Below are 15,051 nucleotides of genomic sequence, written 5' to 3'. Positions count from 1 at the left end.
CTTTATTTTGCTGTTTTCATGAGATCTTATTTCATGTTGATCTTGGGGGAGAATACCTCCTGGTTCTTCTGTAATTGTGGTTCTCCATCTCTTATCTATCTTATTGTTGAATTTGTGACTTATTTTCCATATATCTAGGGCATATTCTTGAAATGTTTCAAAATGTTATTATTATAAAATATCAAGTTACTAAATTACTCTAGGAAGTAATTTCAAATATTATAATAAAGCTCATATTAATTAATACCCAAAACATAAAAATCTAAGTGAACATTATCTTCTTCAACATAACTGCCTTAAGAATTTCTACTTTAGTCCATTGATCTTGCCATCAATTAAAAACACTTTCAGGGATTCCTCTTAAAGGTTTGCATTTAGAACCTGCTGCTTTGTTTCAAATGAACCCAGTGGCAGCAAATCCTAATTTTTTAAGTGTAGACTTTAATTTTTGGATAGAGATAATTGTCATCAGTAGTCTGGTGAATTGATTAATGATCCAACTAGAGGACTATTTGGAAGAAAAAGTATCTGATTATAGGGAATCAGAGTAGTAGTCCTGCCTGACTAAACTGGCTCTGAAGACGACTTCAGAAAGAACATCCAGAAAGTTTTGAGCCTTCTCAGGGGCCATTGGCTGCCCACATGCCTCTGGCTCCTTCACAAATCCCTGGTTCAGCTGGTGGTTGTGATGCGTCACATAGTTCCTGGCATGCCATTGTCCTGAATTCACCTACTAATTTTACCCTCAGAGAAAGAGAGAGTCTTTGGAGAGTTGTGAGGAGATAAGTGACATAAACTGGCATGTTCTGAAAGAATCACTCTGGATGCTGTGTGGAGAAAACACTGAAAAGGTAAGAGTAGAAAATGGAGTAGATACCAGGAGTCTGATTAGGAAACTACTGCAATAATCCAGGCAAGAGATGATGGTGGCTTGACAAAGAGAGAAAATGGAAGTGGTGGGAGTGGTTGAATTCTGAACATATTTTGAAGATACAGCCAACAAATTTCCCAACCTTTGTCTAGACTGGGTCTCAACCAGAAGCAATTTTACCCCTCAAGGGGCATTTAGCAATGTGTGCAGGTATTTTTGATTATCAAAACGAAACATGCTACAGTCGTCTAGTGGGTAGAGACCAGGGTTGCTGCCAAGCATCCTATATTGCACAGAACAGCCTCTCACAACAAGATTTATCTGGTCCAAAATGTCAATTATGCTGCTGAGACTGAAAAACTGTGCTCAAGATGCACTTTGGGCATCCTACTGTATGTTTAGGAGTGCTATAAATTTTTTTCCCAGTACATTTTTTATTTTTTTCTGTTTTCCTTTTTTTAACTGATAAATAAAATTGTATATATTTATGGTATACAACATGATGTTCTGAACTATGTATACCTTGTGGAATGGCTAAATAAAGCTAATTAACATATGCGTCACCTCGCATACTTATCATTTTTTGGTGAGAACTTATCTATTCCCTCAGCAATTTTCAATTATACATTATTATTGACTATAGTCATCATGCTTAACAATAGATCTCCAGCACTTACTCATCCTGTCTAACTTTGGCCAATATCTCCCCATTCCCACACCACCACTCCCCACAGACATTGGCAACTATCATTCTACTCTGCTTCTGTGTGCTCAACATTTTTTACTTCACACAAAAGTGAGATCACACAGTATTTGTAATTCTATGCCTGACTTATTTACTTAACATAATGTCCTCCAGGCTCATCTACGTTGTCAAAAATGGCAGGATTTTCTTCTTTTTAAAGGCTGAATAGTATTCTAATGTGTATCTATGTATATAAAGGGACAAAATTAGAAAGAATATATATAACACTTTATTTGCCAATGGACATTTAGGTTGATTCCATATTTTGGCTATTGTGAATAATGCTACAACGTATTCTATGAATACATTGTATAGTCTATGAATACATTGTAGCATTATTCTACACATTCTATTCAATGTATTCTTTATCACAGTATTCTATTGTGTATCTATATAAAGCCAAAATTAGAAAGAATATATATATAACACTTTATCTGCTGATGGACATTTAGGTTGATTCCATATTTTGGCTATTGTGAATAATGCTGCAATGAACATAGGAGTGCAGATATTGCTTCAGCATACTGACTTGATTTTCTTTGGATATATACTCAGAAGTGAAATTGCTGGATCATATGGTAGTTCTATTTTTAACTTTTTGAGGAACCACCATACTGTTTTCCATATTGGCTGTACTAATTTACATTCCTACCAACAGCGTACAAGAGCTCCCTTTTCTCCACATTTATCTTTCATATTTTTTATCATAGCCATTCTGACAGGTACATAAGGTAATATTTCTTTGTGGATTTTATTTGCATTTCCTTATTGATAGTGATGTTGAACATTTTTTCATTTACTTGTTGGCCATTTGCATATATTCTTGTTTTGTTTTGTTTTGTTTTGTGTTTTGTTTTGTTTTGTTTTTTGAGATGGAGTCTCGCTCTGTCACCCAGGCTGGAGTGCAGTGGTGCAATCTCCACTCACTGCAAGCTCTGCCTTCCAGGTTCACGCCATTCTCCTGCCTCAGCCTCCTGAGTAGCTGGGACTACAGGCGCCCACCACCACACCTGGCTAATGTTTTTTTTTTTTTTTCAGTAGAGACAGGGTTTCAGTGTGTTAACCAGGATGGTCTCGATCTCCTGACCTTGTGATCTGCCCGCCTTGGCCTCCCAAAGTGCTGGGATTACAGGCGTGAACCACCGCACCTGGCCCATATATTCTTTTAAGAAATGTCTATTCAGGTCCTTTGCCAAGTTTTTAATCAGGTGTTTTATGTTCTTGCTATTGAGTTATTTGAGTTCCTTGTATATTTTGGGCATTCATCCTTTATCAGGTGTATGGCTGGCAAATTTTTCTCCCATTCCATAGGTTGTCTCTTCACTCTGTTGATTGTTTCCTTTCCTGCACAGAAGCCTTTCAGGTTGATGCGATACCATTTGTCTATATTTGCTTTTGTTGCCTGTGCTTTTGGAGTCATATCAAAAAAATCATTGCTCAGACCAATGTTGTGCAGTTTTCTCCCTAAGTTTTCTTCTAGTAGTTTTTACAGTTTCAGGCTTTATGTTTAAGTCTTTAATCCATTATGAGTTGACTTTTGTATATGGTGTCAGATAAACATCCAATTTTATTTTTCTGCATATAGGTATCCTGTTTTACAAAACCATTTACTGAAAGACTGTTTTTTCCCATTGTGTGTTCTTGGCACCATTGTCAAAAATCCATTGACTATACATGGGTGGATTTATTTCTGGACTCTCTTTGTTTTATTGGCCTATATGTCTGTTTTTATGCCAGCACCATGCTGTTTGTAGTATATTTTGAAATCAGGCATTGTGATACCCCCAGTTTTGTTCATTTTGCTCAAGATTGCTTTGGCTATTTGGGGTCTTTGTAGTTCCATGTGAACTTTAGGATTGTTTTTTCTGTTTCAGTGGACAATGTTATTGGAATTTTGATAGAGGTTGCATTGAATCTGTAGATTTTTGGGGGTAGTATGGACATTTTAACAATATTAATTTTCCAATAAATTAATGAAACATGGTATCTTTCCATTTATTTGTGTCTTTTTTTATTTCTTTTATTAATGTTTTATAGTTCTTAGAGTACAGATCTTTCATGTCCTTAGTTAAATGTATTCCTATGTATTTATTTATTTTTGTAGCTATTGTAATTGGAATTGTTTTATTGGTTTCCTTTTTTGGACAGTTCATTGTTAGTACACAGTTCATTGTTAGTACATGCTACTGATTTTTGTATGTTGTTTTTCATCCTGCACCTTTACAATATGAAAATATTCTGTTAGAATATTTATTAGTTCTGACAGTTTTTTGGTGGAGACTTTAGAGTTTTCCACATATAAGGTAATGTCACCTGCAAACAGGAAAAATTGAACTTCTTCCTTTCCAATTTGGATGCCTTTTATTTATTTTTCTTGCCTAATTGCTGTAGCTAGGACTTCCTACTGTATGCATTAGGGGAGCTCACTATAAAGATTTTGATGATAAGCTAAAACTATTGTTCAAATGTCCATAGGAGAGGATAGACTCTAGAAAAATCCATTCATCCAATGGACTCAAAGCCAAAATTAGAAAGAAGCTTCCCAGTGGACCTACTGCAGGACTAATGAGTACATCTGTTCAGATATGGTTTGATCCGCTAATGAATCCAGAAGGAGGTCAACTAAAATCAGGACTTTTGCTCAGACACCCAACATCTGGCCTCCATATCAGCCACTGAAGTACACCTGCATGCAGGTTCCTTCTGATTTCCCTGAGATTGAGCAACAAATAAAGATAAATCTTTATGAGCCCAAGTGAAGCCTGCCTCACAAGTTTTCCAGTCTCACTACACCAGAGGAAGAAATCTGTTGTCCACCACACTAGGGCAATCACTGTACATATTTGCCATTTTAAGGATTCATCTACTTGGGGTTTCCTCACTCCATAAAGACATACCAAGCTCTGTGATATGCACCAAATAATGGTAACTTAGAGCACTACTCTATAAGTGTAGGCCTTCTTTTACTTTTAGAAACATTTGGTTTGAGAAAATGATAATCAAGATTCTAAATCCCAATTCTAGGAGAAGGGGCTACTAGGTTGGGGCAAATATCAAACTATCATGGGTGTTTCTATTGTCAATAACACATTAGAAAGCGCAAAGCTGTAAGACTCTTTCCCAGTCTCAATTGACAGTAAAATTAGACAGGTCTTTCTTGTTATCAAGACAGGTCTTTCTTGTTATTATTCAAGTCCTTAAACTTATAAGGTTTCATAGGCAGGCAGATGTATTATGATATAAAAATCTGTGTTAAGGAACTGACCACATGTGATATAGTTTATACTCAAAAATTCCTTCCTGCTTCGCATTAGCTCTTATCCTATGCATCATTTTCATATCTTTGCCATTTTCTTACAAAAATTATGGCATGTTATAATTATCAGTGAAACTGAAAATCTTGCAAAAGATGCAGACTTTGATGAAGTCTATAAAAGTGAAATTGGAAAACAACTCAAACCATTTCAAACCATTGAAAAATAAAGATTTGATGACAAAGTAAATCCTTCAAAAGAGGGTTTGAAGAAGACCTTGAATATTTTGCAAAGATAACCTTCTTTATAAGCATGCCACAAAAGTCAAGCAAGAAGTGAAGGATGCCCTGTTGTGCTATTCTATAATTTTGTTAGAAAAATTAACCCCTCAAAAAGCCTTTCATTTATTTTTTGTGCATCCTAAGAATTAGCACAATTATATGCAAAGTCTAACCTAGATGCTGTTAATTAGGAAATAAAATTAGCACCCTGTTATAATTTATAGACTAAATTAAAGTCCTAGCTTTTCTCTTCAACATAAAAATAAACAGAAAGTTTCCCCCAATTCCCTTATTCCCTGACATTCCACCACTCACATTACAAATTCAGTCCTTTCTTAAAGCTACGGTTTGCCTCTGCCTGTTTATTAAAGTGTGACATGTATCCTCCACCCCCTAGCTAGGACAACTTCCTTTTCTTTCCAGTGGTTAAGTACTGGCTGGATTACTCACTTCCAGTAGCTGGACGCTTAACTCCAGTGAGCTACAAGGACACCTGGCCCAACCTCTCAAACAGGCCTTGGTCCTGACCTAACCTATCCTGTTCAGTTAGGTCAGGACCAAGGCCTATTTGAGAAATTAACCACCTAAACAAATGGATGGTCCTTACAAAAAGCCAGAGGGTCCTGAGTTCAGAGCAGCCCCCAAAATGGAAAAACAGTTTGAAACTCAACATTTCAAACAAATGTCTAAACTTTAGCTGATTCTAACTTGGTCTATAATTGAACAGTTCCCCTGTCACTTTCAGAGCCAAACAAAACTCTTGTTGTGCTCCAGAAGGGGTTCTTCCTCTTTTAAACTTTACAGATTGACCTGGCTGCAGAATGGCTTTATCCCAGTTTGCTGACCTGCCCTTCAATTCAGGCCTAGCTCCTGTGAGCCTCCATTTTACAAATGGAATATGCAGGTTTAGAAGGATTAAGTGTTGCTCAAGGTCATGAAGTGAATAAGTAGCAGAGCTGAGATTTGAACCCTGGCAGCTTGATTCCAGAGCCTACCGACATCACCATACTGCAATATTGACTCAATTAGCATAAGAATATCAAGCAAAACCTAGAAAGAAGGCTAGTACTCTAGCAAGCCACTTAGAGAGAAACTGAATATTGATGGAAATTTCATGGTGAAACTTGGATCATACCAGGAGCAACTGCCTGCAGCCCCTACACATGAGGATGGACTCACCCATGTAGGAATTAATAAATTTAAATCTCTAGAAATTTCTTCCAAAACAAAGCTGCTAGAAATCTTATATTATAAAAAAGAATGTTGTCTGGTGTTTAAAACTGGACTAAAATTTGAAACAAAAATATACCACCGAAACCTAACGTACTGATTCTAATTCTTGCATTCAGTATACCAATCCTTGGGAGAGTCAGGAAATCTCTGTGCTTCTGTATGTTCATCTTAAACATATAACAACACAGGTAATAATGCCTGGCTACACTCTCTCAATGAGTTTTAAATGCCAGTATTTTCTGAGACCATCAGAAAAAGGGTATCACATAAATTCAACATGACTCATCTTTTGCTTACTTTTAGCCACTCCTGCCATTTTTACATTCACTTGTATTACACTCTAATCTCTCTTACTTGGTCATTGAAAGTCACTGCCTGTACTTTGTACCATGTAAGTGTACAGGTACATAAAGAAGCATATCCATCATTACTCATTTATCATTAAATTGGTTTTAACATCAAACAACTGAAAAGATTCCATCAAGAAGCCAATCCATAGAAAACCAGATCATTTTTTAAAATCAGATACAATTGCCCTTGTATTATATTAAAGACACATCAATTATTTTATCTTCTGTTATATCATTTTTAGTGTAAAAAACATAAATTTGTTTCCTCTTTCATTATTGCTCTAACATTTGTGCAGTCTTATCAGGATATCAGCATTTAATTTTTTTTACATAATTCAATTGATTTTTTTTTTACATAATTCAATTTGAAGTGTTTTTCTTTTCCACTGAATATTTTTATTTGTGTCTCATTTTCCTTACCAGGTATTATTTTTGGTGATAGTGGACTAAATATCATTCACAATCTCCAAAATGTTTTCATCTAGCCCTTTTTTAAAATTTCTGTATGTATGAGTGTGTGCGTGTGTCTGTGTGTCTGTGTGTGTGTCTGTGTGAAGCATAATGGCACTATTCATTTGAAGTTCCCTTTTAGGGGCTATGTTAATTGGACAGCAGGAGAGCCTTAATTAAACATGTAAAGCTTTGACATTATTATTACATTTAAGCAAACAAGGCTTTCACAAGTTAAGATTTTTAAGATTTAGGCTCTCTTTTGCTGCTACAAAAGTTTCATTATAATGGTGGTTCCCAAAGTGCGGTCCCAGGACCAGTGACATCAACATCGTCTGGGAACATTTTTGAAATTTTTGCTCCCCGTTCCCATACCCAAAGAATCAGAAAGTATAAGGGTAAGGCCCAACAACCTGTGCTTTAACAAGCCTTCCATGTGATTCTGATGTACACCAAAGTCTGAAAGCCACTGCATCATGGAGATTATTTTTAACGTCCTTGAGAGCAGGAATGATGTATTTTCTTGTTTGTATCACTCACCTGAGTGTCCAGCACTGTGACTGACACATGATATAGGTGCCTATTAAATAGTTTTGGTGTGCATAAATCCATTGATCAATTAATTGTTTCTAGGATAAATTTGGCATTGTTCTCTCCTGACTTCTGTCTTCTTCACACTTGTCATCCATAAAATTGAGATGATTCTGTGAAGAGGTGTTAAGTATGAAAAAACATGACTCACATTAGGCTCTGTCACTGTCTTCTCAGCACAATACTCTCACAGTGCCCAGTGTTACTTTTAAGTTCTCCATGATGAGTGGTTTTTCAGGACACTTAGAAGTAACTTGCATATCAAGCAGGAAGAGCACAAAGAAACTGCAGGATATTGAACTCTGCAGAGCGCTACATTGCGCTTATATCATCACATCATTTTATTTCCCTCCATAATGTAAGAGAGGAAGTCTATCATCAGATAAGCATTTAGCTTAAACACAGTTCCTGCTACATTGTTCCCAAAATATAAAGCCAAGAAGATTAACCATGGTATCTGAAACTGTAGGTATAATTGTATGCTCCAGAAGTAGTGTTTGCCTGACCTGAGAATTATATAAGAAACACAGGGGTTTTTTTTCCCCCATCAGAGAAAAAAGTGTCTTTATGAAGCTTTATGAAAAATGCTGCATGCATTTCTGTATTTCATGAAATATTTATGGATAATGACAGGTTTGCCAAAATTATGTAATCAGCCATTTCTAAATTTGTGCTGTTATAATTAATGTTTATTTGAAAGTCCTCAGAGAGGAACAGAAGATACATCTCCAGTTTTGTAATGATGTGAGGTTATTCTCCTGGCTGCTCTTCCAAACACCTGGGCTAACACCTAGGTAAATCAGATAATGCTAATGAGCACATATTAATGAAGGTCAAGCTTTACTGTTCGCATAGCTAATTTTTTTAAAAAAACTAAATTCCTCCTTTGGACAGTATTATTATCAGCAGATTTTTACCTGCAGCTCAAACTACATTAAAAACTAGAAACCTCCCCCATCAGGCTTCAAGTCCCTCATCTCCCCAATTTTAAGATCCTCTTGCTTGCTGTTTCTAATAGTTTTGTCTGATATATTGTGAAGTCTGCTGTTGTAGGAGGAGACTTGTATTTGGATTTTGAAAACTTGGATTTCAATTCTTTAGCTACCATTGAAGGCAATCATTTCTCCTTTGAACTGCAATTTCCACATCTGTAAAGGAAAAATGATAGCTTGGCGAAAGTGACCTTTAAAAAGTCAGTTACTACAGCTGCTATCAAAAGGAAAAAAAAACAAACAAACATAAAATAACAAGTGCTGGCAAGGATGTGAAAAAATTGCAACTCTTGTACACCCCTGGTAGGAATGTAAAATGGTGCAGCCACTACAGAAAACAGTATGACTGTCCCTTAAAAGAATTAAAAATAGAATTACCACATGATCCAGCAATTTTACTTCTGGTCATATACTCAAAATAATTGAAAGCAGGGTTTTAAAGAAATGTTTGTATACCCATGTTCATAGCAGCATTGTTCACAGTAACCAAAAAGTGGAAGCAACCCGTGTCCATCGATAATGGATAAACAAAATGTAGTTTATACATATAATGGAATAATAGCCTTAAAGAGTAAGGAAATTCTAACACATGCTATAAAGTGGATGAACGCTTTATGAGAATATTATGGTAAATGAAATAAGCCAGTCACAAAAATGCAAATACTGCATGACTTCACTTATACAGGGTATTAAGAGTAATCAAACTCATAGACACAGCAGGTAGAATGGTTGTTGTCAGGAGCTGAGGAAGAGGAAAATGGAGAGGTTGTTACTTAATGGCTATAAAGTTTTAGTTTTGCAAGATGAAAAAGTTCTGAAGATTGGTTGCACAACAACATGAAAATGCTTAACGTAACTGTACATTTTTAAATGATTAACATAGTAAGTTTTATGTTATGTGTATTTTATCACAATTAAAAAGTAAAAATAAAATCATTTGCTATACAAAATTTAACTTCTCCTTATCATCTCCTTCCTTTGTCCTAGAATTCTAGAGTGAAAGTTTCATGAATATAAGAAGCAAGACAAGGAAGTGGCTTATGCTTAAGGCCTTAAAGGCAACCACTGTGACAATCCAGCCATTCTCTGGAGAATTCAGCAGAAAGCCAGTTGGAAGTAATGTTTTCTGTTTGTTTTTCTCTTTTTTGCCCTCCTGGCTATAATGAGAAACCCAAGAAAATAAGTCTTTCCATTGCAGGACAGCTAAATTGCACAAGCATTCAAATTTCTCCCCTTTGACTCATACTCTGTCATCTCTATTTTGGCTTCCACTTTTGGAGAAGGTCTCCACCCCCTACCCCGGCCCTCTCCTCACTGCCCCATGCTTTGAGTGCAAACACTCCAGATTTTCAACCTTCTCCCCTCCATTTCCCACTTCTCTTTCCCAAGAATCGAAGCTTTTTCTGTAATAAATCTCTAAATCAACTAAACTGCTATACAGATTTACATTAGGTTTTGATTGTTGATTATGGCTTATTCCAAAAATAATTTCCATTTTAGAAAAGCATTCAATGCCCAAACACAAAAGTATTCATAAACTTAAGGTAAGAATTTCAGGCACTGTATTTTATCCACTAGATTAAGGAACCAAGCAGTCCTTTTTGCCTTTCAAATCATTCTAAGTAATCAGCTGCTTGTTCTGCTATATAAAGAACTATCTCTGCTCTTTGTACTATCTCTGCTCTTTAAACTCATGCAGTTATTCATTCAATAACTACTTACTAAGCCTGAGCCACATACAGAGTACTGGCCTGGCAACTGTCAACATTTCTTCAACAGCCCAGCAGGCAGCTTTTCCTACCTCTCACTAAAATACCAATAAAAACACAGAAGAACGGAGCTCACTGCAGCACTGACAATCAAGATGGAAGCCAGCCTACCTCTGGCTGTGGGAAAGATTGATGATTCTAAAGCAGAGAGAGACATCTTCTCAGATATAAGCACATAGCATTTCCCACCTTCAATCTACAAAAAAAGATGTCCTGAGAGAAAGAGGAGGAAGAAGCAATAAATAGTGTGTTGGCATAGATCCTAACACAGAGTTTAGAGTACGGTACAGATTTTATACAAGAAAGTATGATTCATGATAGAAAGTGTTTTTTCTGGGAGGCTGAGGCAGGAGAATGGCATGAACTCGGGAGGCAGAGGTTGCAGTGAGCGGAGATTGCGCCACTGCACTCTAGCCTGGGCGACAGAACGAGACTCCGTCTCAAAAAAAAAAAAAAAAACGTGTTTTTTCTCCATTTAGTGTTCCCTTTGTCTCCACATGAGCCTGGTTCTTCAGGTTTCTGCAGAGTTCATGTATCTCTGGGTTTAAAATACAGTGCTATAATTGAACAGGCTTTACTTTCTCTGTTTTAAAATTATTCTGTGTATTTAACCTTTTAAAATAAAATAATATGTTGAACACATTGTTGCCAAATTTGCATGGATAATTGACTCATTTATGCATTTTGTTTTTGGATAATAGCATTCTGTGCCTTTAAACCATGCCGCATTAAAAGTATACTAACATCCCCAGAGCTCACACAGTTATTTTTTAATATTACCATTGAAAATCTACTCCTATTACTGATTTTCATTGGTTTCTTCCAGTCCTCGATTTTTAAAATAGTATCTGAAGTGTAGAGTAGTTGAACGATCAATATAATTCCAGTGAAATTTTTACAGGGAGAGCATCTCAAAAGTGTGATGTAAGTGAAAAACAAAAACTGACCTCCGCTCTCAAGCAAATTCTAAAAAAAAATAAATAAATAAAATTATCTTTACCTAGTTGTATTTGAAACAAATTAACAATTACTGGAGATGACAGTAAGCTGGCATGAAAAATACTTGAATTATTCTATCTGGAGGAAAGAAAACTCACGGTAGACAAAAATAATTTTAGTATACAATGGATTATTTTTAAATGTATGCCAAATAACAACTCATCCAAAAATTAATCCCCATTTATAGATGAGGAAACTGAAGTATTCCTTAATTATTGATAAATATATAGAGATGAATAGAAAACTTTCTAAATTTGAGGGGTTTTTTTTGTTTTGAGTCTTATGCTCTAACCAATATTCCACTTTTTAATCTTTCAAACCTATTACCAAATAAACAGAATGCAGAGAAAAGGACATGAAAAGCCTCAAGCTTAAAATGGCATACAAATAAGACAGGAACATATAAATTAGTAACTTAGCAGAACTGTGTTTGCAAGCAAAATTTTGTAGGAAATTATAAATTATGATGTGGGTATAATGAAATAAAATTGTAATAATGTTCAATAGCTGATTTTCTTTAAAATAATGTTATGGGAAACTTTCATTTTATGGCACTTACTTTCTTTATTAAATATTATATGTCATAGCTCAGATGTAAATCTGATCTACCTTTTTTCACAAGATAGCTCGTGAGAATGCTTGAAAAGCTAAATGTCAGGTTTATGCAGAGCCAAAATTAGCCAAGCATGAATAAAAATCAGAAAAGATATACCACAAATTGATAACAGTGGTTGCCTTTACAGAATGGATTTGGAGTTGGAGAAAGAGGGGGATTATTCTCTTGTGTCATGTATTTTGTTTAAATTAGTTATAATTATCACATATTACTTTTATGATTTAAAAAATTAAGCATTGAAACTTCTGATCAGATGTCAAATAATGCTGCTTCTGAGCTCAAGCAGTTTCTGAGTTAGGGGAACAATATCTACTAATGATCCATAATTTAATTTCCACATCTCCACATACATGAACAAGACTCAGAACTATTGCCAGTTGAGGTATGGGAGGGTGGAGAAAGGGAGGAGTACAGGTAGATGGAATTTTTTGACAATCCATGCATCCAAAAGAGTGAGTGAGGGAAGTTGTGGACAGAATGAACAGACTGTGAATCCAGATTCCCAAACAGGGCTCTGGCCCAAGTAAAATACTTCCTGAATTATTATTATTATTATTTGTACTTCAGTCGTTACACCCCATAAAATTCTACCAAAAAGATTATCCTTTGGTTTACATCTTTCTTAAAATGCAAATACTTCTGGAAAGGGTAAAGTGCTATCCCCTATACACATATTAGTAAATGTTAGTTTAATTTCATGTCCTTATAACAGCCAGCTGAAATTAGCTTCTCTGAGGAGAGAAAAGTCAGACTGTTTGTAACCTTCTTTTCTTTTTTCTGTTGTTGTTGTTTGTTTGTTTGTTTGAGATGGAGTTTCACTCTTGTTGCCCAGGCTGGAGTGCAGTGGCGTGATTTTGGCTCACTGCAACCTCCACCTCCTGGGTTCAAGCAATTCTCCTGCCTCAGCCTCCTGAGTAGCCTGAGTTGGAGGAGATTACAGGCGCCCATCACCACACCCAGCTAATTTTTTGTATTTTTAGTAGAGGCAGGGTTTCATCATGTTGGCCAGGCTGGTCTTGAACTCCTGACCTCAGGTGATCCACCTGCCTCAGCCCCCGAAAGTGCTGGGATTACAGGCGTGAGCTACCATGCCCAGCCCCATTTGAAACCTTCTGATTGGCAACAGAGACCAAAATGCTGAACAGAACAGGATTTGGTACAGCAGAGAGCATGCAACTCTGGGAACTATGGAAAAGGATTCCAGGCATCATAAAGGAAGAAAGGCCAGAAAAGAAGGTGGTGGATACCAAAAATTCTGTGGACTACCTAAAAAAGCACCCAGTAAGAAAGAAAAAAGAAAAGATTTTTTTCTTTTACCTTGTTGCTTTTACCTTTTCTTACTTCTCCTTTCTTCTTTTTTACTTCAAATATTGAAGCAAGTATTAGTACTACAGTTGATTTATATATAATGATCTAAACAAACCAGTCGAAGCATCCCTCTTCCACCCTATCCTCCACCCCCTATGACTTCCCCACCACCTCCCACAGCCTAAACATACATAAAGGTTTTATAATAATAACAAGAATAATGATTTCATAAGAATAATGCACAAAAAAATTTACTTAAGAATCAATGAGATTAAATTATCAGTGTAAAAACTGGAGGGAAAAGAGGAACAGAGAAACTTCATTTCCTGTTAACCAAATGAATTTTAGTCTACCATTGTATTAACTAATGAAAATTACTTTCCACTGGTTTGTATAACTATAGCAAGGAGAGTGCAAACTTGAAAAGATTTCTGGTCTTGCATAACTTTAGGTTCAACTGTACTTAGAGACTGAAATAGGACTAAATGGGGACAGATGATAAACACCATTCAATGAGAAAATAACAATTTTTAACACTAGAAAAATCACTAATTTTACCTGAAAGTTTAATATTCAACATAAAAGTGAAATAGAACCTAATGCCTGCAGATAAAATGGGGTAAGGAGGCGGCAGTGGAGGAAGAAAAACTGATACTAGACAATTACCATGTAATGTCACTTGGCAAAGAGAAAACCAAAGAATGAGTGCTAATGGTAACTTGATATTGCAGTTGGAGGAAAAGAAAATCAGATAGGAAAAATTGGGAGGTATGTGAGCAATTGCTGAAAGAAAGCTATGGGTTAGGAGTATGAAGTTGCTTTTAAAAAGCATCAGAAATTCTCCAAACCTCAATTGCTAAGCATTACTTAACAACTACTTAAGATGGAATAATACTGCTATTTTTAGCATTATCTAGGGAACAGAAAAATAATCTGCCTGGGTTGAAAAATAATTCACAATAAATGGAATGTCTGAAGACAGTGTTTAGGGTGAACCAACCTCTTCATAAAATAGACCAAGATTTCTTTTTATTGGTTTTCATTTGCACGTTTTATTTGGTTATGACAGATTTCAAAAATTATTTGAAGAGTATATCCAAGTGGGTCTTTGAAAATTGTAAGATCTACTCAGTTCTTTATATATATATATATTTTTTATTGTACTTGAAGTTCTAAGGTACATGTGCACAACGTGCAGGTTTGTTACATATGTATACATGTGCCATGTTGGTGTGCTGCACCCATTAACTCGTCATTTACATTAGGTATATCTCCTAATGCTATCCCTCCCCCTCCCCCCACCCCACAACAGGCCCCGGTGTGTGATGTTCCCCTTCCTGTGTCCAAGTGTTCTCATTGTTCTATTCCCACCTATGAGTGAGAACATGCGGTGTTTGGTTTTTTGTCCTTGCAATAGTTTGCTGAGAATGATGGTTTCCAGCTTCTTCCACGTCCCTACAAAGGACATGAACTCATCCTTTTTTATAACTGCTAGTGTTCTATGGTGTATATGTGCCACATTTTCTTAATCCAGTCTATCATTGTTGGACATTTGGATTGGCTCCAAGTCTTTGCTATTGTGAGTAGTGCCA

At 36.0% G+C, this 15,051-nt stretch overlaps 1 long non-coding RNA gene across 1 annotated transcript in view; it reads left to right on the top strand.

The window, feature by feature from the left end:
- The first annotated feature begins 775 nt into the window (after nucleotides 1–775).
- HRAT17 (heart tissue-associated transcript 17) overlaps nucleotides 776–15,051 on the top strand; it is a 41,009-nt gene continuing 26,733 nt past the window's right edge. Inside the window, exons 1-2 of the long non-coding RNA NR_110162.1 lie at nucleotides 776–851; nucleotides 9,755–9,883. This is a non-coding gene — a long non-coding RNA (heart tissue-associated transcript 17). The remainder of the gene's footprint in view (nucleotides 852–9,754; nucleotides 9,884–15,051) is intronic.

This window comes from Homo sapiens, chromosome 7 (genome assembly GCF_000001405.40).
Source record: "Homo sapiens chromosome 7, GRCh38.p14 Primary Assembly".
NCBI classification, from domain to species: Eukaryota; Metazoa; Chordata; class Mammalia; order Primates; family Hominidae; genus Homo; species Homo sapiens.
This window is presented reverse-complemented; position numbering and strand designations above follow the sequence as displayed.